Here is a 27352-nt window from a genome sequence, read left to right as displayed (position 1 = left end):
TTAAGCTTCACTCTTTATTCCATGTAATAAATTCTTCTGTCTGTCCTGGGTTGACACCTGGGCCTTCTTGAATGTGGCACATCGCTTGGTTGATTATGGATGACTGTGTCAGAGGAAAACAATCTCAGAATCTTCTATACCAGAAAATGCTTTCAGTATCAGGCTCCAAAGACATAAAACAAAACCTGAATTCAGATGATTATTTAGAGATATGCGGCGTATCAGTTCTCATGCTAAGGGTTGTGAGATTAAATTAAAACTGTACCCAAGCATAACCTACTTTAAGGACTGGTCACTTGGAATTTGTGTTTCAAAAAGGAGAAGGGTCTCCTTCTGCATCATAGGATTTCAGGACCCGAAATGCTTGTGAATTTCAAGGGGGACCATGATGCGCAGCAGCAACATGGAAGAGTCACTACATCTCCATAGCTCGCAATTCAAGACTGCCATGACCCTCATGGTGGTTTCTCTAGAGTGGAGGGAGACTGATCTTGTCACTCTTCTTCCCAAAAGGGAAGCCGAACCAGACATAGAAAGACATGGGTCTTAACACCGTGTAGTTCTAAAGCCAGACCCAGTCACTTCGTCTTCCTCAGGTGTTTGGCTCTATATCAAATGCCTGCATTTAATCACAGCGTAGAAACAGTTCTATGTTGGAAGTTGTTTTCATCACTAAAAGGCTCTTTTGAGAGGCCATCGCCATAACAGAAGAATCTGGGTTCTGAAGCAGTGTTGTCGGGAAAACCATGATCATCTTCATGCACAAGGGTGGCACTGCAGATAGAGAGACATTGAAGAAGAAAACCCCCTGGTTGCATTGGGCAGAGCTGTCCAGTGAACAGATTTTGTGTATGTCTCCAGGGAATGAAAATTAACTCTCCTCAGTTGACAAAGAAGGGTGAATATCTTTTTGAAGTCTCCAAAGGGTCCCTGGACCAGATCCTGTGGTGAAGGCTGCAGGGTCTTTCCTGTGATCCCAGCAGCTCAGGGTGAGTCCTCAGACCCCACCAGATTCTGGCCTCCTTGGAAGAGTGGAGTTGTCAGCAAAAGAGGCCCAGGGCTGAGCTCCAGTGTGAGCATGGCAGTTAACAGGGATGCTTCCCAGGGGTTCCTGGCTGCAGAGAAATATAGTGGGCTTATGGACAGCGAGGAGGAAGGAATTCATCCTAGGAGAAGATACCCCTGACCTGGCCTCAGGGCAGATGAATCACAGGAACTAAAACAGATCTCAGTCTCCTCACAGACAGTGAGCGACATTACGTGGACAGAAACAAACTCCAGGCAAGCAGTAAATCAATGAATAAATGTCTGTTAAAAAAAATTTTAGGACGAAGATAAACAGGAATGACAATTTATTTTTATTTTTTATTTTTTTTGTTCTGTCCCATGTCTACTCATACAGAATGAGAATCTAGTCATTTAAATAGTGTTAAAACTGGTGGTATGCTTTTTCAGAACACCCTTTTGTGGTGGCAGTTTCACTTGAGAGACCAAAATGTAAAGTACAAAAGTGTTTGGTGAGCAGAAAGAGAAAGCATGGAGGGAAGTTACTGTCTTGAGGGATATTTCCACTACTCTAGGACTATATAGCTGTCCAGGTAATGAGTACAATGCTCCTAGAATCAAATTCCCACTTTTCTGCAGTGGACTGAATTAATCTCTCATCTTTAATTCCCCTTTTCCAGAATCTCTTCAAATTGTCACATGAAAATTACAGTAAATATGATAAACTAATAAAAGTTGTGGCAGATGCACTCTGAAGTGTCCCTCAAGGATTTATGGACTTGGATCATCTCTGCTTCTGGAGTGGGGCAGAACCTGTGACTTGTTTCTAAGCACCAGGATATGAAAAATGAGATGGGATCAGTCTCCTTTGATTGGGTTACATTATTTAGCAAAATGAACACATATTTCACTTTTTTTCATTAAGTACATTTTAAGGCAAAAGTGATGAGATTTTCAGGCAACTAAGACTGCAGATAAGGTATTTTTTTTCTTTTTTTTGGTCAAGCAAAAGGGACATTATCTTGACTGGATCTTACTTAAAATTGGATGAAAGCCCTTAAAAGAGAACTGGGAACTTTTATGGGTAAATAACAATTCCCAATCTGGAAGAAGCACACTGCTGTGTCATAATTGCATGTGTGGCAGAGAACTGGAGTGGCTTCTAGGACCTGAGGGCAGTCTCCAGCCATCAATCTGGGAGAGCCAGTATTCTCAGTCACACAGTCCAAGGAGATGAGTTCTGTCAACCTCAGTGAGACTCACCGGGACTCCTCCCTAATCAAGCCTCCAGGTGAGTATGCAGCCAGCAGACATCAGGGTTACATCCTGGAGAGACCCTAAGCAGAATATTTGGATAAGCCAAGATAAGTTGGTAGTAATTGGTTGCACATAAATGGGAAACTAATACAAGAATGTTGCAGACATTTTTAAAAAAATCTTGTGTTCTTGATTGAATTATAAAGCACCCTAATTTCATCAGCAGAAGTGAAAATTACCTCTCAGAGAAGTTTCTTATACTTGAAGTTTCTCCTTCAAGAGGTGTAGATTCTATTTGTTTCAAATTCAGTGGTGATTTTTCTTCGCCTAGAAGCACTTTTTGAAGGTCCCATCTATGCTAAATATATGATAAATTATACGGAAAATGTATCCCCTCCATTATCAGATTAAAAACAATGTAACAGTGCAGCAACAAATGATTAATTCATTGATCATGGCATTACTGCCAAGACTGCTCTATAATTCATCAAAAGCTTATCTCACGACCCATTCTTTCTTAAGGTCATTGTATTTTATTTCCTTTCAGTATTCTGCCCATTTGCAACATTATCACCTATTTTGCATTTAGATGAATCTTGGATTGATTCTGAAATACTGGGTGAAAAAAAATGTAATAATGACAACCCCTAAGTAGCAGAGCCACTCCCTGCAGGGTTGATGTGGGGGTCACCACGTGCACTTGAACCTAGCGATTACCAGTCCACAAATAGCAGATTCGTCATTGTACATTTCTGCCAGTGTCTTTTCAAGCAGGAAGGACCCACAGGCAAGACACTGGGATGCATACCTTTTTAATAATTGAGTTGTACAGAAAGGATCACCATCCCATGTTTCATCTTCAAAGATTACCTAGCCTGAGAAGTATCCTCAGGGTTTTTTTGGGGGATGCATGTAAATTATACTTCTCACCTAAATAATCTTGAAGCACACACACACACACACACACACGCACACACACACACACACACATGCAAGCTAAGTGATTGAAAGTTAACTGATCCAATAGAGACAATTTTAATGTTCAGTGATAAAGAAGTTGTGGAGTTCAACTGACTATATTAACCAAAACAAACATTGGATTATCCCATGTGTATCCCAATGAATAGCACCCTTCTACTTGCCCTTGCCAATAGCTCTAAAAAAGTTAGAAAAGGAAGGAAGGAAGGGAGGGAGGGAGGGAAAAAGAAAGAAAAGAAAGGAAAAGACAAGAAAACATAAAAAGAAAAGAAAAGAAGTCGTCAAAATATAACCCATGCTATTGATAGGAGCTAAATCACAGGATGTAGCTTGTGAAAGTTCACTAAATTCCAGAATTAGATCAACTCTCCCATCCTGTCTCAGCACTGGACTGGGGTGCTGCAGATGGAAGCCTGCATAGTAAGACTTGCAGTGTGGAGGAGCCAAGGCCACTTATATTTTCCTTGGACAGGCCTGCTGAAGAGACAGAAGACAGAGGCCACCTGACCATGAGCCCTTATCCTCCCCAAATTGACTAGTTAGAGGAATCAGTCCCCTACCTGGAGGCAAAATGCTATAGAGGTGATCACAGGCCCATCATATAGGTCACATCTAATCAATGTTCTCTTAACACACACACACACACACACACACACACAAGCTTTAACATATTGCTAAATGAAGAAACTCCATACCAGTTTAGAACACTGAGTAGAAGTTACTATGATATGTTGTATGTCATAAATTAAAGCTAAGAGAGTTAATAAGGGATAATATGAGAGATATGCTAAAAATACTTTGTACATGGTATGTAGTCAAACGAAGGAAGACACTGGCAATTGTTAGCTAAAAAATCTGAAGTTAATCATGCAATGCAGAGAACAGAGTGGCAGTTCTTTCTTGAAAGAATACAGAAAATAGTGAGAAGACTGCCAAGTCATGTCTGGGAGATAGATGAACCTCATGCTGAGCAAACACTGTGTGGTCATGTTGACACCTCCATCTCTGCTGGACTGCCGAAAAGCCACCAGGTCACCATGCTGTGAACAAATTGCCTCCTCTGTACCTGGCCCCAAAACCTTCCACATCATGGAGCAACAGGGCCTGTACTTCTCCATGAAATAGCACCACCTACCTCCACCCCTTCCATCCATCAGTCCTCTACCTTGGGGGAGGCTCTAGAATTGGAGGTTTATAGGAGGTTTTGTTAGTCTAGACAAAAGGAAGGGCCAGGGATGCTTTTCTGTAAACATCCTTTGCTTTCGATTTTCTCATATTGTAGGCTCATTAGGCATGTCTTGGGTTGGAAGTGAGTATGAGGTTATTGGAGGACACTATCCCACCAAGCCATCCTTAGCACCATCTCATTTCCTCTCCAACATTATACCTTAGGTTCAGAAACTGCCTCCCAGTCAAGAAAATCCTACACCACATGGCAGAGCATCTCTCCCCTTCTCTTAAAATAATAGCAGTACTAATCAATCAGAATTCTTATTAGCACACTGGAAAGTTGGTTGTTAAACCTTCCCCATGTGCTTCCTCCATGGCTCCCCTGGAAGAGCCATGCTGCTGGCCCAGCCTGAAGCACATCCTTGCTCAATTTGAAGGAACAATGGTGATGGGTTCTAAGGACCATGGAGGCCTGGTGTGACATTAGTTGGCACATAACTGGTATTTCCTGCAGTCAGAGAAAAATTAGTATCAAAGTGGTATTTAAGGAAGTTCTCCTCAGTATCCTGGCCCACAGACTTCAGAAGTAAACTCATTTGGGATACTCAACAACCAGTTATGGGGATGGCACCTGGAGAACCAGCGTCACTCTGTATTAGTTCATTCTCACACTGCTAATAAAGACATACCTGAGACTGGGTAATTTATAAAGGAAAAAGATTTAACTGACTCACACTTCCACAGGGCTGTGGAGATCTGAAGAAACTTACAATCATGGCAGATGGGGAAGAAAATATGTCCTTCTTCACATGGTGGCAGGAAAGAGAAGAATGAGCAAAAGTGATTAAATCCTCTTATAAAACCACCAGATTTTGTGAGAACTCACTCACTGTAATGAGAACAGCATGAGGGTAACGGCTTCCATGATCCAAATACCTCCCATAGGGTCCCTCCCATGACACATAGGGGTTATGGCAACTATAATTCAAGATGAGATTTGGGTGGAGACACACCCAAATTGTATCACCCTTCTACAAGCTCATATTTACAACTGGGAATTAGGTGACACAGCTCACGTTGATGGGTTGAAAGCTCCTTGACTCACTGGGAAGGAGAAATGTTTACAAACATGAACAAATAAATAAAACAGTGACAGATTCAATTAGAAACAGTAAAGCACACAGCAGTCTGGAGGAAGTTTACAAATCATTAAACTTGTTTACTCTATAAGGCTATGCAATTCATTCAGAGTAATTAATCTGAAAGATAATATTAGCTAGAACACATTAGTAATGCTGAGGTATCTAAGTAGCTTAAAAATACCAACAAAAGGAAATGAAAATATACCTGAGAGGAACAAATAAATTCTATAGAATTAGCACACTTATAAGCAGAACCAGTCACATAATTTGTGAAGCCAGCGCAAAAATGAAAATGTATCATTTGACCAACAAGTCTCAGTTTCCCTAATACCAACCCCTATCCATCACTGCCCCTCTCCCCAGTCCTTGATAGCCACCATTCTACTCTGTTTCTATTAATGCACTGCAGTTTATTGTTGTTGTTATTATTATTATTATTATTATTATTATTATTATTCCACATATAAGTAAGACCATGCTATATTTTTCCTTCTGTATCTGGCTTATTTGATTTAGAATGTTTTTCAGGTTCACCCACCTTGTCCCAAGCAGCAAGAGTTTCTTCCTTTTTTAGGGCTGAATAATATTCCATTGTTAATATCCCACTATTGCTTAATTCATGTATTCATTGTTGGATGCTTAGGTTGATTCCATTTCTTGTCTATTGTCAGTAATGTTGCAAGAAATATGAGAGTGCAGGTACCTCTCTTCAACACACTGATTTCATTTCTTTGGATATACACCCAGAAAAGGGACTGCTGGATCATATGATAGTTCTATTTTCAATTCTTTGAGGAATCTCAAGACTGTTTTCCATAGTGGCTGTGCCAATTTATATTCCCATCAATAGTGTATAAGGTTTTCCTTTTCTCTACATCATTCCCAACATGTGATCTTTTGTCTTTATGATAATAGCCATCCTAACAGGTGGGGGGTGATATCTTATTACAGTTTTAATTATGTAGAATGAATAAGTTCTAATGTGTAGCATGGAGACTATAGTTAATACTACTGTATTATATACATGAAATATGTTAAAGGGTAGATATTAAGTGTTCTGACCACACTCAAAGAAATGGTAACTCTGTGAAGAGACGCACACGTTAGCTATCTTGACAGCAGCCATGAGTTCACTATGTACAAGGATTTCAAAACATCGTGCTGCATACATTAAATATATACAACTTCAGTAAATATTCTTAAATGAAAACATGAGGCCTCCTCTTCAAAAGTAAGAAAAATAAGCTCAGTTGCAGATACTCAAATATAGACCCTTTTATATAAAAATATTTGGGTTTTGTTTTTTGAAATGGAGTCTCACTCTGTCACCCAGGCCGGAGTGCAGTGGCATGATCTTGGCCATCTCCAACCTCCGCCTCCCAGGTTCAAGCGACTCTCCTGCCTCAGCCTCCCTAGTAGCTAGGACTATAAGAATGTATCAGCAAGCTCAGCTAAATTTTTTATAAAAATATTTTTCATTAATAATAATTGGAGTAATTTTGTACATAAGTAATACCACAATCATAAATGTATAAAATTACTCTGACTAAAATTTTTTTCATTAATAAAACTCAATCAGAGTAATTTTGTACATAACACCGCAATCATAAATTGCAAAAATAATATTTTGAAATAATAATTGTATATAATATATAAGTAATAATACTTTATTAATGTGATACCTTGCTAGAGCATAAGATTTCAATGGCTACATTTTTCTGAAAATACTTCTACTAAGCCATTAAAACGTATGCACTTAGCAACTTTATTTTCTATTGATATAATTTAAAACAATGTCACTTGCTCTTGGGAAATGTAAGATCACAAATAATTTTTATTATACTAAATTTTGAGTAGACTCAAAATCCTGATCCAACTGTTCCTGAAGAGTATTAAATTGGCTATGACAACAATAGGATAAATACCTAATGAGGCCTTATGAAAAATAAATTTCAGTGCATCTAAAGATGATGATTCTTGTGGAACAATTTTCTGAAAAGGCTTAACTCTTCATACACATCAGCTTTGAGTCTGAATTTAATCTTAAATTTAAATATACACAGTCATATTTTAATGATTTATCTGGCAGTTCCTGTAACTTGTGAAGGCAGTACAAGAAACCCAGAGTGGATTCACGAGTGGTCCTCGTTTCAAAGTGCCTTTTCATGCAATCACTCTATCTTTGATAAGGAGGTAATTAATTTTAAAATTATCTTTCTCATTAATAATGGGTTCATCCAAAGCTTCATATGAATACAATGTTTTTTATCATCACATGCGACGATCTTTAAATATAATTTCTACTTCTAAGGCTGTGGGTATTTAATTTGTAGTTTTGCGGCAGTTTTTCAAATACGAGACTCTAACTCCCTGAAGATCTCTGGTACCTCCCTGACAGGCTTTAGTGACAGTGTTCATGTGTATGCTCTTATTTTGAAATAACTGTACTGAATAAAATAATTTATTTTTACAAAATAGTGTACAACAATTTGGTAAAAATGTCTTCCCAGAGGTCCAGAAGTTTCCACACAGCACCCAGAGTGCAGCATGTTATCTGAGGGGAGGCCGCAGGCAGGGGCTCCAAGACAGACAGGCCAACTGGTCACCCACAGCAGGTCCCAGCCTTGTCCCCACCCAGGCCCCTCTTCTCTCCCTCACTGGCACTGCTGGCATGAATACTCCTGATGCCACCTCACAGGCACTGCACATGCCTTTTTGTGCTTATCTCTTTGTTCAGCTAATTGTCACTCTATTCCATTTCTCCTCTTTCCAGGCACTACGGGTTTGAAGGCGCTGTCTCTGAGTCCTGAAACTGAGGGGTTTATCTGATCAGGTCTGCCTGCCTTGATTGCTTTTGGTCACTTACCTTGTGTTATCATTATTATTGTTTTCCTTTTTCCACGCAGCCAAAGGCCGCAGTAGCAGAAGGTTTCGCGACTGAATGCTCAAACTTAACCTTCAGTGGACACTTTACAGATAACATTCAAAGGTCACCACGGTAACGGTTCCTTCAGTTGTTTTTCAGAAACTTAGGCCAGCTTCCCTCCAGTTCAAACTGCTTGAGACCATGAACCCTTCAACTGAGCCTGTGCAAGTGCCCTACAGCACTTGGACCTTCCATATTTTACCCCAAACTACAAGTGGCGTTTTGATGTTGGAGGGCTAAAAGCTCCATCCTTAGATTACGGTGACACTACTGTTTTCTGTACATATGTCTTGTGAAGTCCCATGAAGCCTGACTGCGCTTATGCAGAATGAACCTGTTATTCATTTTTCACCTTAGAACACCCTACTTTCCTAACTCATAAATATCCATAAGCCTTATTTTCAGGGAGGAGGATTTGAGACCTGTTCTCCTGACTCCTTGCTCTGTGGCCTTGTGAATACATCTATTCTCTTTTGCAAAGCCCATGTCACGGTGATTGATTTACTGCGTGCAGGCAGAATGAACCTGGACATGGCCAATAACAGTACGTTCTGCTCAAGTGCACCTAAAGTGAAAGTTGGGTTCTCATTATCTCAGTGGAGATGTGAGGAGCCTACAGACTGACAGCAAAGGTCACCCCAGCTTTGTGGCCCTGTCCTTAAAGGAAAGGAAACTGAGTTCATCAGATCATTTCCCTCCATTCCCCACTGGAACTCTAGCAGTCTGTGGTCAGCCCCAGTACTGTTATTCAAACCTTGTTATTCTCACATTTTTCTTCCCAAGGGTGGTCAGGCGTCCCGCCTATTCAAGAGTGATGGGTGTGTGAGCCGGAATCTCATTCCCTTTCTCTCCAGCCCGTGTACCCCATGCTCCTAGCACACACAGTTTCCACCATGCCCTAACCAACTGAGGCTCGGGGCACCTTGATAATTTGCACACGCTGTTCCAGCTGCCCAGAGGACCCATCCCCTACTCCTTACAACACCCTAGTAACTCCTAAAGATCCAGAATGAATCCCATCTCCTTTATGTCTCAAGCCCTTTAGTCTCTTCACTCTCAGTCTCTCATGGCATTTGCCATGGTCTAGGTTAGATCATGAGCCACACTCCCTACAATTATTTGTTCACATGTCTTCCATTTTCAAACTATCTATAAATCTGTAATGATTTTGACAAAGAATACAAATGTTCCTTTCATATTTTACTCAAAATATTATCTGCCAGTGACCAACTTTAGCATGGATTATTTTTCTCCCCTACCCCATCTTGCCATAATACACCCCCTAATTAAATCTGACAACATTATTTTGCTTCTATAATTTTGTCACAGCTCTTATTTTTCTCCTTCATTCTCCTTACTGCAATAAACTAGCATAGCATCTTTAGATTTTCATAAAGACTTCAATTTTATTTTCTGCAAAGAAATGTGTTTCAGAAGAAATCTGAGCATCTACAAATCCCAAATTGGAGCTCGAATTAGGTAATAAAAAGTATTTAAGTTTAGAAAGAGAAGAACAAAGGAAAAGCAAGATGTATGTTTATGTCTATTCACGTGTCTGTGTGTGTGTGTGCATATATAAATCAAATACATTGGTCAGCAGACCACCCCCATATCAGCTAGGATCCAGACAGTGAAGCAAACACTACTCTAGTTTTTCCACATATAGGGAGTTTAACATAAAGATCTGTTACATAGGTGTTGGGAAGATGAGAAGGCAGGCAGGTTAGCGTGGCAATTTAACTGCCTGAAGGAGCTACTGTCCCAACAGTAGGAAGCAGTAGAATTTCAAGTAACCAAATACAAGAGGCATTTTGATGGGACTAACATTTTATACTGGGGACTGCCTAGTAAAAGTTGGAACCATGGAGCTCAGGGCTTTCTAGGAACCTGAGCAGCAAGGAAGATGTGGCTGCTACTGGAAACACTCACCAAGGCAGAGAGAGAGGGGGAGATACCCTGGCGCCCCTTCCCTTCTGTCCTTCTGTCTCTGGCCTGTACCTTTCATTGGTCAGACTGAAAGGGAAGCCAGGTAATATGGGAAATGAGTGGGCTGGGATCAGACCCCTGTGATAAAATCATGCAACCAACAGAGCAGGAGAAGCACTGATGTGCACATCCCTATGGAAGCATAGTGGACTCAGGTGCACAAGCAAGCCTGCTTCCTGTCACTACAAAAAAGATGACGAGGCCGGGCATGGTGGCTCACGCCACCAAAATCCAAGCACTTTGGGAAGCCTAGGCGGGAGGATCACGAGGTCAGGAGTTCGAGACCAGCCTGTCCAACATGGTGAAACCCTGTCTCTACTAAAAATACAAAAATTAGCTGGGCGCAGTGACATGCACCTGTAATCCCAGCTACTTGGGAGGCTGAGGGAGCAGTATTGCTTGAACCTGGGAGGTGGAGGTTGCAGTGAGGCAAGATCGCACCACTGTGCTCCATCCTGGGTGACAGAACAAGACTCTGTCTCAGAAAAAAAAAAAAGATGATGAAAGTCTGTGGCAAAGCACAAAACTATCACTCCATTCCCTGCATGTTACAGTTTATTGAAGTGATGTACTCTCTCTATTGTTTTTTTTTTTTTTGAGATGGAGTCTTGCTCTGTCACCCAGGTTGGAGTGTAGTGGCGCCATCTCGGCTCACTGCAGCCTCCGCCTCTCAGGTTCAAGCGATTCGCCTGCCTCAGCCTCCCAAGGTGATATACTCTTATCTTAAGAATTTCACAATATTTTAAGGAAAGGATTGTGCTATGGACTAAATTATGTCACCCTAACATTTCTATTTGAAGTTTTAACCCCCAGTACTCCAGAACATGACTGCGTTTGGCAACAGGGTCTTTAGAACGGTAATCAGGTTCAAATTAGGTCAACAGTGTAAGCCATAATTCAGTGCAACTTGTGATCTTACAAGAAGGGGAAATTGGGACACAGACATGCATAGCGGGAAAACCAGGTGAAGACCCAGTTTAAACTACCCAGTCTGTGATATTTTGTTGTGGTAGCCCTAGCAGACTAATACAGACTCTTTTTTTTTTTTCTTTTTTTTTGCTTGGTTTATGTTTCCATACCACCCACTTCTTTCCACAGGACTGAGATATGATTGCAGCAATTGTTATGTACCCACAGACACATCTGAGTAGCAAGTGTTTTATTATATGTAGAATCCCCCTTTCTTGAGATAATCAAAGCTTTACTTCTCTATGCTGACAAATTCACTTATGACAAAGTGCCCAGAACATCTAAAATTCAGATGAAGCCTGCTGTACTGGAGCATAGGAATGTGCCTAGAACATCTGAAATTCAGATGAAACCTGCTAATCTCACAGTGCTACATTGGAGCAGAGGAATGTGATCCCAGAGATGGAGGCCAGTGGCTGCAGTTACACATGCCTTAATGAAGAAATTGGAGACGGAACAGTTTCCAAGGTCTATCTTTGTATCCTCTAATCATCTCTGTGCCTCATTTCTGCTGCCCTGTGTCCTCCTGGATCGTCCTCTTTAGAACATTCTTCCTCAGCTTAATTCCAAAGAGTATTCCACAAAAACCACCTTTTCTGTCTAGTTTTACAAAACCTTTTCAATTTGAATCCAAGGGCTTGGATACTATGTGCTTTTTCAATGTGATTCCAAGAGCGTGGATACTATATGATTCCAAGACTATGGATACTGTGTTAATTTATAACAGATGAATAAAGATGGATAAAAGACAGTATAACGTTACTACATGAACAAGTTCACAATACTGGATGAGGAAGTAGCCTCTCTGCTATATTTGGGGTTCACAAATCTTGGGGAAGACCCTAAAATGAATAAGGAACTTGCTGGGAGCAAATCCTGTAAACCTTTGCTTCCCTAACCTCTGTCATTAAAATGTGCCTTCTGGTGGTAGGTTATTGATGTTTGCATGCCTGACCCCACAGGCAGCAATCACAATGCACATAAATATAGGTCGGTCAATAAGAAGAGCCTTTCGAACAATTAGGTTTGCAGGTTTGAGGTCTGTTGGGATATCAGAATCTTTAAGAGCACATAATTTCATTGTTGGCTCAAAGCAGTAAAGAGACACAAGAAAAGTTATGAATCTAAAAAACAAAAATATAAAATGACGAACAATGGATGCAGCGACCTTATTTAGACACAGTGAGTTGATTTAAAGGCATTTGTGCATCAGTCTGTCTTCTAATCTGGTGGGAAAATGGCATCTCTGTAAAGAATTGGGTAGCATTAATTTTTTCAGGATTTTCTAATGAAATTTTTCAAGAACACAGCAAACTGAAATAAGTCTACAATGAGTCCGAAAATATCCACCACCTAGATTTTATCATTATTTTATTATACTTGATTTATCAAATCTATACATCCATGTATCATTTAATCCATTTTTAGAAATGCTTTGAAGTATATTGCAGACATCAGTACACAACTTTTCAAATGCTTAAGCATGCATACATTAGCATGATTTCAATATTTATAGATTTGTATTAAAATGTATACACAATGAAATGCATAAGTAGTAAATATAGATTTACGGAGTTTTTTTTTCAAGTACACATACCATAACCTAAACCCCTATCAAAATATAGAATATTATGCTTAGCACAGAAAGTTTCTTTATGCCACTTCCAGTACTACCCCCCAACTACACCCAAATTGGCAGCCATTGTTCGGATTTGTTTTTTCAATAGAGATCAGTTTTGCCTGTTTAAAATTTTGTGTAAACGAAATGGAGCCATATGTTCTCACATGTGTGAGGCTTTTTGTTCAGCATGCTTTTGTAATGCATCCATGTTCTTGCATTCACCAAACATTTGCTACGTTTTTATTGTAGTGTTCCATTGTGGGAATATTCCAATTTGTTTGTTCATTCATTATTGAAGATACCTGGGATGTCGTCCAGTTTTTAACTATTGTAAATAGACCTGCTATGAACATTTTAGAAAAACCTTTTTGTGAACTTGTTTTCAATTCTCTTGAGTAAATAATTAGGAGTTGAATTTCAGGTCATAGGAAAGATATATTTGGCTTTATACAAAATTGTTATGTTACTTTATGTAGAAATTTATATATGTATGCGTGTTATAGCTCAAATTGTTTCAGCTTCGGCCATTGAGAGCTCTTTTACATGGCATCTGTACCTCTTGACATACATATGATACGATGATAGCTGTAGGTTTTATGTAGATGATCTCTATCTGGGTGAGGAAGTTTTAGGCCTAGGTTGCTGAGATATTTTTATCATGAAAGGTGTTGCATTTTGTCAAATGCTTTTTCTCCATCAATTGATATGATTGTATGGCATTTCTTCTTTACACTATTAATATGGAAAATTATATTGATTTTTTTTTGAATACCAGATGAGATTTTCATCCCTAGGAATAAATCCCCATTTGGTGAAAATATATATATATATAGATATGTGTGTGTGTGTGTGTGTGTGTATGTATGTATATATAATATTAAACAACATATTTTGGTTAATATTTTGTTCAGGATATTGGTGTTTATGTTCTTGAGGAATATTGGTCTATAATTTTCTTTCTTTTTTTTATAAGTAATGTATTTTCCTGATTTTGTATCAGGGAAATAGTAAACTCAAAAATGATTTTAGAAATATGTCTTCTATTTCAGAAAGACACTATGTAGAGTTGTTATTTATTCTCTAAAGTTTGGTAGACTCCACCAGTGAAACCATCTAAGCCTGAAGTTTATTTCTTGGAAGGTTTTTAAATAATAGTTCAATTTTCTTTATAGTAGGACTATTCAGATTATCTGTTCTATCTTGGACCAGTGTTGGTAGTTTGTACTGTTCAAGTGGTGTCCATTTTATCTAAGTTGTCAAATGTAAGTGCATAGAGTTGTTTGTAGCTCTGATTATTTACTATCTGTGATACCAGTAGTGATATCCCCTCTTCATTTCAGATTTCTGTAAGATGGATGTTCTCTTTTTATTTATTTATCAGGCTTGCAAGAAGTTTATCCATTTCATTGATCATTTTGAAAGACCACTTTGAGTCTATTAATCGTTCTCTGTTTTCTTATTTTAATTTTTATCATTTTTTGCTGTATATTGTTATTTTCTTCTTTCTTCCTGATTTTGGTTTATTTTGCTCTTGCTCTTCTTTTCTAGTAAGTTAAAGTGTTGACTTCAGACCGTTCTTCATTTCTAAGTGCTATGACTTTCCTTTTCAGCACAGCTTATTTTCATTCTGCATACTGTGATATGTTGCACTTTCATTGTCATTCAGTTCAATATATTTGTATATTTCCTTTGAGACTTCCTCTTTGATCCATGTGTTATTAGACATATGCTAATTAATTTCCAAGTATTTGATGGAATACTTGAAAAAATGGGAAGATTATGAATAACTGGAACCTCGTTTTTTGTTATTGAGTTCTCATTTATTTACATTATAGTCAGAGAGTATACTTTTATTATTTATAAAATTTTAAACATATTGAAGTTTGTTTTATGAACTGATAATGTCTATATTGGTGAATATCCCTGGGGCACTTAAAAAGAAAGTATATTCTGCTTTGATTGACTGAAGAGTTCTGTAAATATTAATCAGATTCTGTTTATTGGTATTATTGTTCAGTTCCTCTGTATATTTTATGATTTTCTGCCTATAATTTCTTTTAATTACTGAGAGGAGGGTTATTGATGTGCCCAATTATGATTGTGAATTTACCTATTTCTCCTTTCAGATTTATTAGTTTCATTTTATTTTTTGACAAATTATAATCATATATAATTATGGATACATAGTGATGCTATAATGATATATGTATACCATGTGGAATGCTTGAATCAAGCTAATTAACATATCCCTCATCTTAAATACTTATCATTTATTCTTCCTGTCTAGTTGCAATTTTGTATCCTGTGATCAAAATCTCTCCATTCTTCTCCTCACCTCTCAGCCTCTGGTAACCGTCATTCTACTCTCTGATTCCGTGAGTTTTTAACTCCTAGAAGCAGAGTGTTCTTTCTTTATGTATTCTGTGTCTCTGTTATTTTGTGCATATGCATGTAGGATTGTTCTGTCTTCTTGGTGAATAGCACTTTTATTATTATTTAATGTTATTTTTTCTGGAATATTTTTCTCTGAAGTCTAGTTGATCTGACATTAATGTAATAACTTCAGCTTTTGTTTGATTTATGTTTGCATGGCTTACATTTTTCTATTCTTCCCCTTTTACTTACACGTGTCTTTATATTGGAAGTGAGTTCCTTGCAGATAGTATATAGTTGGTGTATTAATTTGTTAAGTTTATTCTGATAATCTGTGTGCTTGATATGCTAGCATTTGATCTATTATTATATTATTGGTTTGCATCATTGACTTTTAATTAGATTTAGTTGGTATATCTAGAAGCTATAATATTAGAATTATGTTTGAAATAGTGAAGGAGTATCTCCTTTTATAAATCTTGAAATACATATTTTTGAAATAGTACAATTGCTTAGAGTATTAAGTACAGTTTTACTAAAATATGGCAAGAGCCTTGTAGACTGCTAATGAATACAGGATTTCCTTTGTGATAATGAAAATATTCTGAAATTAGATTTTTGTGAGAATTGCACAAATTTGTGTACTACAAATCAACAAATTGTGTATTTTAAATGAGTGAATTATATGGTGTGTTAATTATATCTCAATACACTGTTAAAATTCAAAGGTAAAAACAAACAGAAAACTGGTAGATCAGTTTGCTCATCACTTTTTTCTAATTTTATTGATGAAATTGGCCCCACAGAAAGCCTTACCCTTGATTTAAAAATGATCTTTAATAAAATAAGTTATCTTACAATTTTCACAAATTGATAGCTCCAAAAAGCATTCATCCTAGATTCAGTGATAGCAGTGGATTTTTAGTCTTTGGATATTTTCATAACATTTTCATTTGAATTTCTTCTCTGTATAAGTAGTGAAAGAGCAAAGAGCATTTGATAATATAGAAAGGTAAGGATATAAGAATATACAAATATTACTTAGCTGAAATGTATTGGACTCTTCTCCCGAAATATTTCACAGGCAACTTAGACTGAGTGTGTCCAACGTATCATAATCCAAGGCAGTAGCAATTTCTACAATCATTTTCTTCTTTATCTCTGTGAGCAGTACCCACTTGTTCAACATTGAACCTTGTATCATCCCTGAGTCCTCTCTGTCACCCCAGCAATGGAATGTGTTTCTGAACTCTCTTGAACCATTTCCTTCTAGCTCAAGTTTATGGTAACTTCATTTATCCTCTGACTACTGAGTGCTCTCTAGCTGGGCAGTTAGCAAAGCCCTGTCTCCTGCAAGCTGAGACCACTCACACTGGCCACTCCTTCACTTCCAAGCCATGACGGGCAATTCCTTGACACCAGACATTTTCCACAATCAGCTTTTTCTTCTTCGAATACTTCCATATCTTCCTGACAGATTTCATTTCTATTTACAAGCCCAGATAAAATCTCGCCATCTCTCTGAAGCCCTACGTGGCCAGCTGGGCTCACCCAGCTCTCAGCCTCAGACATGTTTTATGTTATATTGCACTGACCTCATCTATTTTTTAAAATGTTCCCATCTCCCACTAAACAGTGAGGTTGTTGTGGGCATGCTTTATGTCTTACTCATCTTTGAATGTCTACTGTTTAGATCACCTTTTGCCAGTTGCTGGCCCTGGTAAATACGTGTCCGATTTAAGTTAATTTGATTTTCTATCCATAAGCTTTTCTTAACCATGAAGTCACTGAGGGAGGGATTTTTTCCTAAACATTTTGAATCTCCAAGATTAGTATACGTTACCTCATATAAAATAGTTTTTTAAAATGTTTAGTGTATAAATTGACTAATAAAAATTGAAAAGTATCTAATGTAATTAAAGGAACACTAAATTAACATAGGGGTACCTGAATTTGAGTACCATAACCTATGACTATATAAGTTTTCAACAAGCCACTTTTTCTCTTAGACAGTCTACTGTGTGTTAGCTGAACAGATTCTGGAATTCAACTCTCAGGCTACAGTTCTGAGTCTTCCACTTAACAGCTATGTGACCTTAGGAAATAGCTTAATATAATAGATATTCCCACACTTTGCTTATTTCTGGTTCTCCATTTTGGTCACACTCATGTCCACAATCCTTAGCCCTCATGCAGTTAGCCAGAGACTTAAGATTAGCACTGTCTGGCCAGAAGGCTTCAAAATATTTAAGAATTGGTTCATGACATATACACCATAGTATACTATGCAGCCATAAAAAAGAATGAGTTCATGTCCTTTGCAGGGACATGGATTAATCTGGAAACCATCATCCTCAGCAAACTAACACAGGAACAGAAAACCAAATACCTCATGTTCTCACTCATAAGTGGGAGTTGAACAATGAGAACACATGGACACAGGGAGGGGAACATCATACACCGGGGCCTGTTGGGAGGTGGGGAGCAAGGGGAGGGAAAGCATTTGGACAAATAGCTAATGCATGTGGGGCTTAAAACCTAGAAGACAGGTTGATAGGTGCAGCAAACCACCATGGTACATGTATACCTATGTGACAAACCTGCACGTTCAGCACATGTATCCCAGAACTTAAAGAAAAATGAGAATAAAAAAAAAATTGGTGTATGACACTCCAGCTCTCACCCGGCCACAGTGACAAAAAAGTCATGACATAAAAATTGCATAGACAATTTACACAGATCATAAGTGTGCCACTTTCTAAATTATCAAAAAATAAACACAATTTGATAACCATCACTCAGATGAAAAGTAATAGAATATTACCAGAATTTTATCTAACCAAAAAACCCTCATCACCAGTTCCCAATTTCTATTATTACTTTTCTCATCCTTGAGTTAATGTCTCAGCTTCTAACACCATGGATTCTTTCAGCCTACTCACCTCCTGAATGGTGAGCTGTGCTCTTCTATGGATGTCTTTTTTCACTCAGTGTCATATTGGTTAGATGCATGTATATTGTTTTATGCAGAAGTAATTCATTCATCTTCATTGATGTAGGGTATGCCATTTTATAAAACATCAGAATTTATATATCCACTCAACAGTTAATGGACATTTTAGATGTTTGTAATTTGAGGGATGTGGCTGTCCTCTGAAATGGTTACTGCCTTCAGGTCCTTGATGCCTCCAGGTCAGAAGCCATCCTCAGTACCCTATCAGGTGGTCCTGCGCATCAGAACAAGCAGGAAAGAAGGGTCATACAGTGGTTGCTAGCTAGACAGGGCTCACAGTCTTTTATAACCTAATTTCAGAATGGCATCCCATCCCTTTTGCGGTGCTCTGCGTACTGGCTCCAGCCCATGCTCAAGGGGAGTGGACTGCTCAGTGTTTAACCACGAGAATGTGGGGATGATGGGAGCCATGCCCAAGGTATCTATCACATCATTGGTAGATTGTGGGTCCAAGAATGGAAGCCACCAAATACAAGCTGTGCTATAAAGTGCATACCACTAAGAAAGTAAAACTGCCACCAGCTGTATTTTAAGACACAGTTGACTGTAAGGTCGTTCACATTTTTCATGTTAAAATTGGATGAAAATACGTATTTGTGACTCAGTGAAATACGGTACTCAGATATTTCAATGATCATCTCAACAGCTCCTTAGGAAGCAAGTGCTTCATTTCCTTGCTCTGCTAATGGTGGCACTTTTAATCATGTAAATCAGGAGTGTTAATCTGAAATTCCTGTGATGTGCTGATAAGTTCAATGAATTACTTATTAAGACACCACCTCATGCAACTGGACATCAATATCAATATCAATTTATTTAAAAATAACCATGCAAGGGAACTAAGCTAGGTTAACACTTTCCTGATGGATCACAGATTGGTCTAACAAAGCACGCAAAGTCACTAATTTCTTATGGTACCAAACTTGATTCCATTTACCAGGATATCAATCTCTCTGCCAAAAGACATGGAAAGTGCCTGTGTGTGTGTGCACGTGTATGCTGTCTTTAACAAATGAAGCATAGAATTACTGTAATAATTTTAGAATGGGAAATAAAAATGATATTCAGATAATGTTATGGGAAAAAGTAGGAGTAAAAATATACTCTACATTAGGCATTCATCAGGAACTTTTAACATTACCACGCTAAATTTTTCAATAGAAAAGTGAGAAACTGCTTTAATAAATTGTTGTATATCCATATAACAGAATGCTATGCAGCCATTTAAAATACTGTTGCAAAATAATGTTTGCTAATGTAGAAGGAAATGTTCCTCATGTGATATTGACTGAAAAAAATGTGAATTGCACAAAATATTCACATTTAAAATATATAACTTTTATATAGGCATAAGAAGAGGAGAGAAATATATATAAAATATTAATATTGATTATATCTATTTTCAGGATTATGGTTAATTTGTCTTCTATTTTGGACATAGAAAAACATTTAATATATATTTTTGTTGGTAACTTCAAAAAATGAAGCAGCTTACATATAAGGCACATTAGCGATGGTCCATAAATGATGAAAACAGCCAACAAGATTAATATATAAAGAGCAAATCAGTGTTCATAGCTCATTTGCTATTTTAATTTTTAAAAAGGAATGGTCTCCTTATTTGAAATAACAAAGTAATATAAAAATTATGAATAAATTTCATTTAGATGTTTCCTTCAAATTTAGATATTTTCCTATTTGTTATGGAATCCTATTAAGCAAAAATCAAGTATTTTCTATGTAATTCAGATTTTGCATTGTTTTTATATTTTGAGGTATGCTTTTTGTCATACCTAGAAATTCAATTTAGTTTAGAATTTATGGACAAATGATATGAATCAGCTATTCATAGAAGAGGAAACTTTCATGTTGAATTAATATATATGCAAGTATCTCCAACTTTTATAGTTGCAAATTCAATTGAGTAACAATTCCTTATCCATCATGTTGGCAACATTTTAAAGGTATAATTGTATCAAGCATTGATGAGGATGCAGAGAAATGTTTTTCAGTGATCATAAGTAGGAATGTAAATGGTACTACCACTTAACATGTAAAAATGTCTGGTAAAGTTTAAATGTACATTTTCCTCTAGCCATTCTCTATAGAACATAAATTCTGTACACAGGCACACAAATACACTCACAAAGACATTCATTAAAATATTATTTATAAATCGCAAAAGGGAAGCAATCTAAATGTCTATTAATGTATTATTCAATTAAGATCTGTTCATATATTATAATACCATACTGTAGTTAAAATAAATTAACCAGTTCTAAAGGTATTAACAAAAAAAGTCTAAACATTTTATTATAATACAAAGATTACAGATTCTCAATTAAAGATGACTGAAAGAACAAAGAAAACAAGAGGAGAAAATTGTCAGTAAAACACTTAAAAAAAATAAGGTTGGACTTGGGAAACGTGGGTTTCCAGATTTAAAGGCATCACTGATTGCTGAGCATAATGGATGAAACATAGAGCCATACCGAGGGATGGCATCATACATTTTCGGAACACTGAATATAACAAACAGAAAATGCAGCAAGCTTCCTAAGAGGAAAACAGGTTTTATGTAAAGGATTGAGGCCAAGTGCGGTGGCTCAGGACTGTGGACAGCCAAGGTGGAAGGATTACTTGAGGCCAGGAGTTCAAGACCAGCCGAGGCAACATAGTGAGAGCCCCATCTCTACAAAAACTGTAGAGCATGGTGATTCATATGTGTAGTCCAAGCTACTTGGGAGCCTGAGGTGGGAGCATCACTTGAGCCCAGCAGTTCGAGGCTGCAGTGAGCTGTGATCACAGCACTGAACTTTAGTCTGGCAGCGGAGGGAAACCCTGTCTCAAAAAAAAAAAAGAAAAAAATGATTTCCACCTTAGAATTCTGAAGCAAGTCAAACTACAAATAAAACGCAAGGGTAGAAAAAAGGCATTTCAAACATATATGTTCTCAAAAATTTTACAACCTGTGCACCCTATCTCAGGAAGCTACTAAAAAACATGACCAACAAAATCCAAGGAATAATACAGGAAAGAAAGAAATAAAAGATAAGGAAATTCAGGAAATTTGACATCCACCATTAAAAAGAGATAAAAGGATTTCCCAAACGATAGTGAAGCTGGGGTCCGAGGTTGAGGGGCGGCCAGCGGGCCGAGAGAGAAATCCTTTCAGGCAGCTCAGAGCAGCCAGAAGGCTAGGAGGAATTCACACCAGGCGGTGAGAGTGAGGGTGTGATGGAGCATCCTGAGACATAAGTTACATAGTGGAAGGAGAGGCTGGCGCTGAAACAGTGACAGGAATACCAGTAAGAAAGATAAACTCATTATAATAAACTATGCAAACACATATGAAGAACATGTATATAGTAATAATGTAAATATTAAATATTGATCTAAACAGAATTATGATGCAAGTATATTTGGAAGATTAAACAAAGGAGAATTGGAAAAAAGAAGAGGTCAGGGAAGAAAGATTCATACGAGAGAGGTAAATTCCCACCTTTAATTGTAGGGAGTAAACAGATTACAGCTAAAACTGAAAAATTAAGAAGCAACAATATAAACATAATTATTAATGATGTGGAAATAAACCCCAAAATAATCAACAAAAAAAGTTGAATATATTTTCCTTTAGGGAGAAGAAATGAAGTATATGTTGTGGTGAATTACTGAACTCTTTAAAGGTTGGGCAATATAATAATTTTAAATATTAAAAGCAAATTTTAATATTTAAAATGAATTTTAATAAACACATATAAAACAAAATTTAAAATGAACTTTAGATATTAGAATATATTTTAAATTAATACAAGTAAAAATAAAAATATATGTAATGATTGTATGCACAAATTTTAGTAATTAAAAATAAATTATGAGAATGATCCAGCCTGCAGGTGCACACTTACACATGCACACACACATAGATATGCCTGGTGGCATGCCATAAAGGGTATAAAGCGCAGGAAGAAAAGGGGTAAAGCAGCTCTACGAGAGTCGTGGGCACTGGCAGGCAGGGGAACATTGAGATGGGGAGAAGGGTGCATTCTATGTCTTTCCCAACTGGACTGGTTTTACAACAATTTTATAACCCGTGCCCTTGATCAGAGCATAGATAAATGACAGCAAGTTTGAAGCCATCTCTGGACACCGCTGAGCAGCCTGTGTCTGCCCATCTGAACACCATGGCTGGGGAGGATCTAGGGCTGTCTCTAGAACACAGGAGGTCTCTTTCCTATCCGAGCTTGGCAATTTGGACACACACCTTACCCTCAAAGATCTATCAACTCTATGGTGTACTTTCAGTTCTGTCTGTGAGAAAGTCTGAGTTCTTGGGCAAATTTAGAGCATACCTCTTTAGCTACAATGGCCTGAGCTGGACCTTTCGCCTCCAACCTCATGGCTACAGGGTACAGCCGTGACCCACGTGAACATTTATTTTCCACTTACTGCTGCAACTCTTAACTTACAGACAGAACTTCCCAGGTACCTCTTTTCTTTAACCAGGGACTTCACCCAAACTCTAACATGAACTGCATATGGAAAAATGCCCACAGTGTTCGTCAATGCCTCCAATAAGCTCCCTGTTACTCTGATAAATAGATGCATAGTATGTGTAGCCAAAATACTAATAGCAAAATAATATCAGTATTCATTATCCCCTCCTATACTTGGTTAATTGTCCCGGTCATCCAACATGACCATCCTTTCCCAGACCCTTTTCCAGAATATCACCCAGCCACATACACCTGCACTGCAGTGATAAGAATAATTGGCTTTTACAGATTTAAATTTTGAAAAATTTGTATATAAATATTCCTATAAAAATCAATATGTCTACAAGCCAAGCCCCAAGTGAACATGATTTATCACACTTACACGTTTGTAACTATGTATTGTGGATGTTGGCATGGGCGACCATGGCTAAGCCATCCCTTTACAAAATGATGCTCTCCCCAGAAAGCACTAATATTGTAATAAATCTTTGCATTCTCTCTTATTGCATGTGTAGCATTTTCAGTCTTGATATCTGAACCACATTTTGGGGAGAGAGGCTGATATGGCTTACACAGGGTGATCACAAAACAATCTCCTCCTCTGGATGAGATTACATTAAATTAAAAAAAATACTCTAAGGAGAAAGCATTTGCTTTTAAGAAGACAACACAGAAAAATACTTACGTGTGCTCAGATTGGTAGAACCGTATGACTGAAGGCAGATTTATTTCTCAGACACCAGGGCGGGGAGCTGCTCAGGTGAATGGTGCTCCTCACCTCCAAGGAGTGGCTCAGGGCTGCAGTCTGAGAGGTAGGGCAAGGCCCTTCTCCGCTGGCCATGTGAGGGAGGCACTAGGACAGCATGTCCACCACTTAGAAGTAATGCCTGGGAGAAAGGATTCTCAGAGATCCCTCGTCCTTTTCAGTGTAACCTTTAGGCACATAGAAGTGTACAGGACCTTGGGGCATTTTAGATGATGGATCTCTACTAAACTAAGAACATCTGGATTTTCTTGTTTACTGACCACTAAAGAGCAATCAGACGACAGATGTTCTGAAAAACTGCCAACCTGGACCGAATCAAATTGATGACTTGTAGAGGGAGAATCAACCTCCATTTTCTAACCTCCTGGGCCAACTAGGATTCCTCAGCACGATTGCTTTTCTTTTTCTTAAAGCACAGATTTAACTCATTATGGGCATGTTGTTGTTTGACTAAAATCTGAGTAGGGAAAATTTACTTTGAGAACACTAGTTGCCTTAGTATTTTAATAAGCTTTTGAATTTCCAGTTCAGGTTAAAGAAAGCAAGAACAGTTTTTGTGACAAGCAACTACCTCAATGTATGCAGTTTCCAAATATAAAGTAAGACCAATTTATATTATATAGAAGTATACAAGAAAATAAATTCCCTAAACCCAATGAATTGTGTTTATATATATATATATATATATATATATATATACACACACATACACACACATGCACAAATATTTTTTGAAGCAAAGAGAAAAATTCTGAAAATTAGAACTAATTAATTGCATTCCTTATTCAGAAAATACACTGAGAAACCTGAATCCAAAATAAAAAAATAACCCTGCTTCTGTTCTAGATGGAGTTATGTGCATGAACAGGAGTCAGGCTTCCTGAACTGCAAGAAGACCGCATTTCCTTTTTCTCACCCACTGCAGGTCAAGTTCTATCAAAGAACTGTGGAATTACAGTCCCTACCTCAACTCCACCTCAGTCCCAACTACTAATCAGAGGAGTTCAGAACTCCATATCTAGAGTGGTTATATATTTTATCTTCAATTAAAATTACCCCCCGTTTAACCTAAACAAAACTTCCCTCTAATATCAACAAATTTTATCTCTTTTCTTGTTATAAAACAATATGAGTAAACTAGAATGAAAAGAGACATGTAAGTAGTTTTTGATAATGAATAAGAAAGCATATTTTAAAAATAATAGAATTCAACAAATAGCTAGGAAAAAACCACACATGCTAGGATCAATATTAATGGGTTTGTATGATTTACCAAGCCAGAGAAATTTAATTAAATTAAAGATGAAAGTGATAAGAAGCTGCATACTTTTTATATTCTATTTTTATTGCAGCTTATTAAGGAAACATATGGACAATTCAAATGTAGAATATGAACTTTTCGAAATTTATAATAAGGTTGCAAATCAAAATGATGTATTTAATAAAATTTCCTATTAAATTTTCAGTTTTTCAAAGAGCTCCTTTCTTTTGTAATGCATCTCTTGTCAGTAAAATTAACCAAAGCTCAGCAGGAAATCAAAATAACTTTTTTCGTGATTAATGTTAAGACGCCATGATGCCAGAGCAGGTTTCACAGAGATGCAATATCCATTCAGTATCCAACAGAGGTATATCCCTGAGCTGAATAGACCCTGAGTCCATATACATTGATGTAGGTCACATTTATGTTGGTATTCAAAGGGATTTCCGAGATTAATTTGTTAGCAGTTGTAGACTACCAAAAGATTTTGTTCTTTTCTCACATTTTTTGGATTTTAAAACTCAGGAAAAAAATCAGAGTGAAAGCCTCTGACATAACAAATTCAGTATGGAGCAAAACAGTGCAAAATAGTATCCAATAAATTTTCCTACACTGTTCATACTATACACCCTAACTCTTAGACCAGCCTTGTGGAAAGTCTACTTAGTTCTAAGACAAATAGCCAGTACAAACAGCCTGAACCACTTTGCATGCCAAAAAGACTATCCATTAGGGTGACTTTTAACAGTGGACGAAGACCAGTGGTCCCTTGACATGTGTGACAACCCCCATATAATTTAACATCGTAATCAATGGTGGTATTGTGTCTATATCTGACATTCAGCCTGTTTTTCCAAAATTTCTTTTTTATATCATTGACAAAGTTTGTGACTTCAATCAGCAAGGACTCCTATAAATTCACTGGAGGTATAAGAAATCATTTTGAACACATCATGGAGGAATGGCTCCATCTGACCATCCAGCTACTTCCTTCTCCCTGCTTCATGTCCAGGTTCACTCCCTGCTTCATAGGATTGGGGGCATTGTCTGAATGGAGGGAATTCTTTATGCCTTAGTGTATAGTTAGGATCCTCACATATTAAGACTAATAAAGGATTATATGCAAACTTCAAAGTGCAATTCCAGTGGCTCTAGCAGTGGAAAGGGGCCTTACAAATACAAAGTCTAATGTTTAAAAAGACAGTTTGAAAACCTGTCAGTGTTAGCACAGACAAAAGAGTCCTATCTCAGATGAAGTGGGAGTAGAAATTAAGACTAATTGTGATGCTTTGGAATGACGAAGGGAGTGCTGGGACTTTGTGGCAGACTCTGACAACCACAGAAACAATATGAATAAGATTGCAGCTAATGGTTTATTCTGTCATATTGAAAAGGTTAAAATATGACTCAGTGCCACTGACTCTCAGCAGCAATCTTTCAACCGATAAAGTTCATCATACTCACTTAGGAAGAAAATGTATAATAATGACACCTCTATACTTTTGTATTTAAATCTGTTATTGCCTGTGCTTAAATCCTTAAATTCACAAAATAGACCTTTCTTTCATCGGAAATTTGACAAATTGAGAATGGTGTTAATAAAGACATATCTATTTTCCAGATGTATTTAAATTATATTTTCATTTCGTATCAGAAAAACAACTCTCAAACTGTGTTTCTCCTCCACTCTCACCACGCAACAATGACCCCATGAGACTTCTGTGACCAAATGTGTGCAGATTCTCCCCCACTGCCAAGTGGCTGGGTGTCCCCCAATTCAATTCCAACACTGTCCACCTAGAGAGAGTGTCCCATCCCGCAAGTTGAAGGTTCAGTCCCCAAGATTGTTCCTTTCTTCCTCCTAGTTGTAAGTTTGGGCCTCCAAATCTTGTGACCAACTGGCTTCAAGTTGAGGTCACCAAGACACCCTCTTTGGGTTTGATTAATTTGCTAGAGTGGCTCACAGAACTCAGAGAAACACTTAACATTTACCAGTTTACTAAGAAGCGTCTTTGAAAGGATATAAGTAATCAGCCAGATGAAGAGATACATAGGTGTGAGGTCTGGAAGGGTCCTAAATGCAGGACCTTCTGTCCCCATGGAGTTGGGGTGCGCCACCCTCACAGCACGCAGATGACTTCTTCACCTTCCTGTCGGCCTCCACATGTCCAGCTCTCCAAAAGCCCTCTGAACCCAGTCCTTTTGGATTTTTATGGAAGCTTTGTGACATCAGCATTCCTTCCCCAAGTATAGGGTACAGGGCGGAGCCCTCTCAGGGAAATTTCTTAAGATCCATAATCAGAAAGGTGAGAGAAGATTAAAGTCCTGCTTTAGGGTAGGAGAAAGAAGGCAGTAGAGAGATTCAGTTTCCTGAGGTCTGTTCCTGCGA

The 27352-nt window shown here is 37.7% G+C and overlaps 1 long non-coding RNA gene across 3 annotated transcripts in view, besides 1 other annotated feature; it reads right to left on the bottom strand.

The window, feature by feature from the left end:
- LOC105374647 (uncharacterized) overlaps positions 1-27105 on the bottom strand; it is a 36488-nt gene extending 9383 nt beyond the window's left edge. Inside the window, exons 1-3 of one of the 3 annotated variants that reach the window (NR_188264.1) lie at positions 26956-27105; positions 23622-23823; positions 18370-18654 (exon numbers count right to left, since the gene is read on the bottom strand). This is a non-coding gene — a long non-coding RNA (uncharacterized LOC105374647). The remainder of the gene's footprint in view (positions 1-18369; positions 18655-23621; positions 23824-26955) is intronic. The other 2 variants (NR_188263.1, NR_188265.1) reach the window with 2 other exon arrangements.
- Positions 1518-2717: an enhancer, noted in NCBI's record as "BRD4-independent group 4 enhancer chr5:8549695-8550894 (GRCh37/hg19 assembly coordinates)". NCBI's record gives its function as "activates an origin of replication core promoter dependent on BRD2, P300/CBP, MED14 and CDK7 cofactors, and independent of BRD4, by STARR-seq in HCT116 cells {active_cell/tissue: HCT116}" and the evidence as "EXISTENCE:reporter gene assay evidence [ECO:0000049][PMID:35650434]".
- Positions 27106-27352: the final 247 nt, after the last annotated feature.

The sequence above is a fragment of the Homo sapiens genome, chromosome 5 (assembly GCF_000001405.40).
Source record: "Homo sapiens chromosome 5, GRCh38.p14 Primary Assembly".
Taxonomy (NCBI): Eukaryota; Metazoa; Chordata; class Mammalia; order Primates; family Hominidae; genus Homo; species Homo sapiens.
The sequence above is the reverse complement of the archived record's forward strand: the minus strand, read 5'-3'. Positions and strand labels throughout refer to the sequence as shown.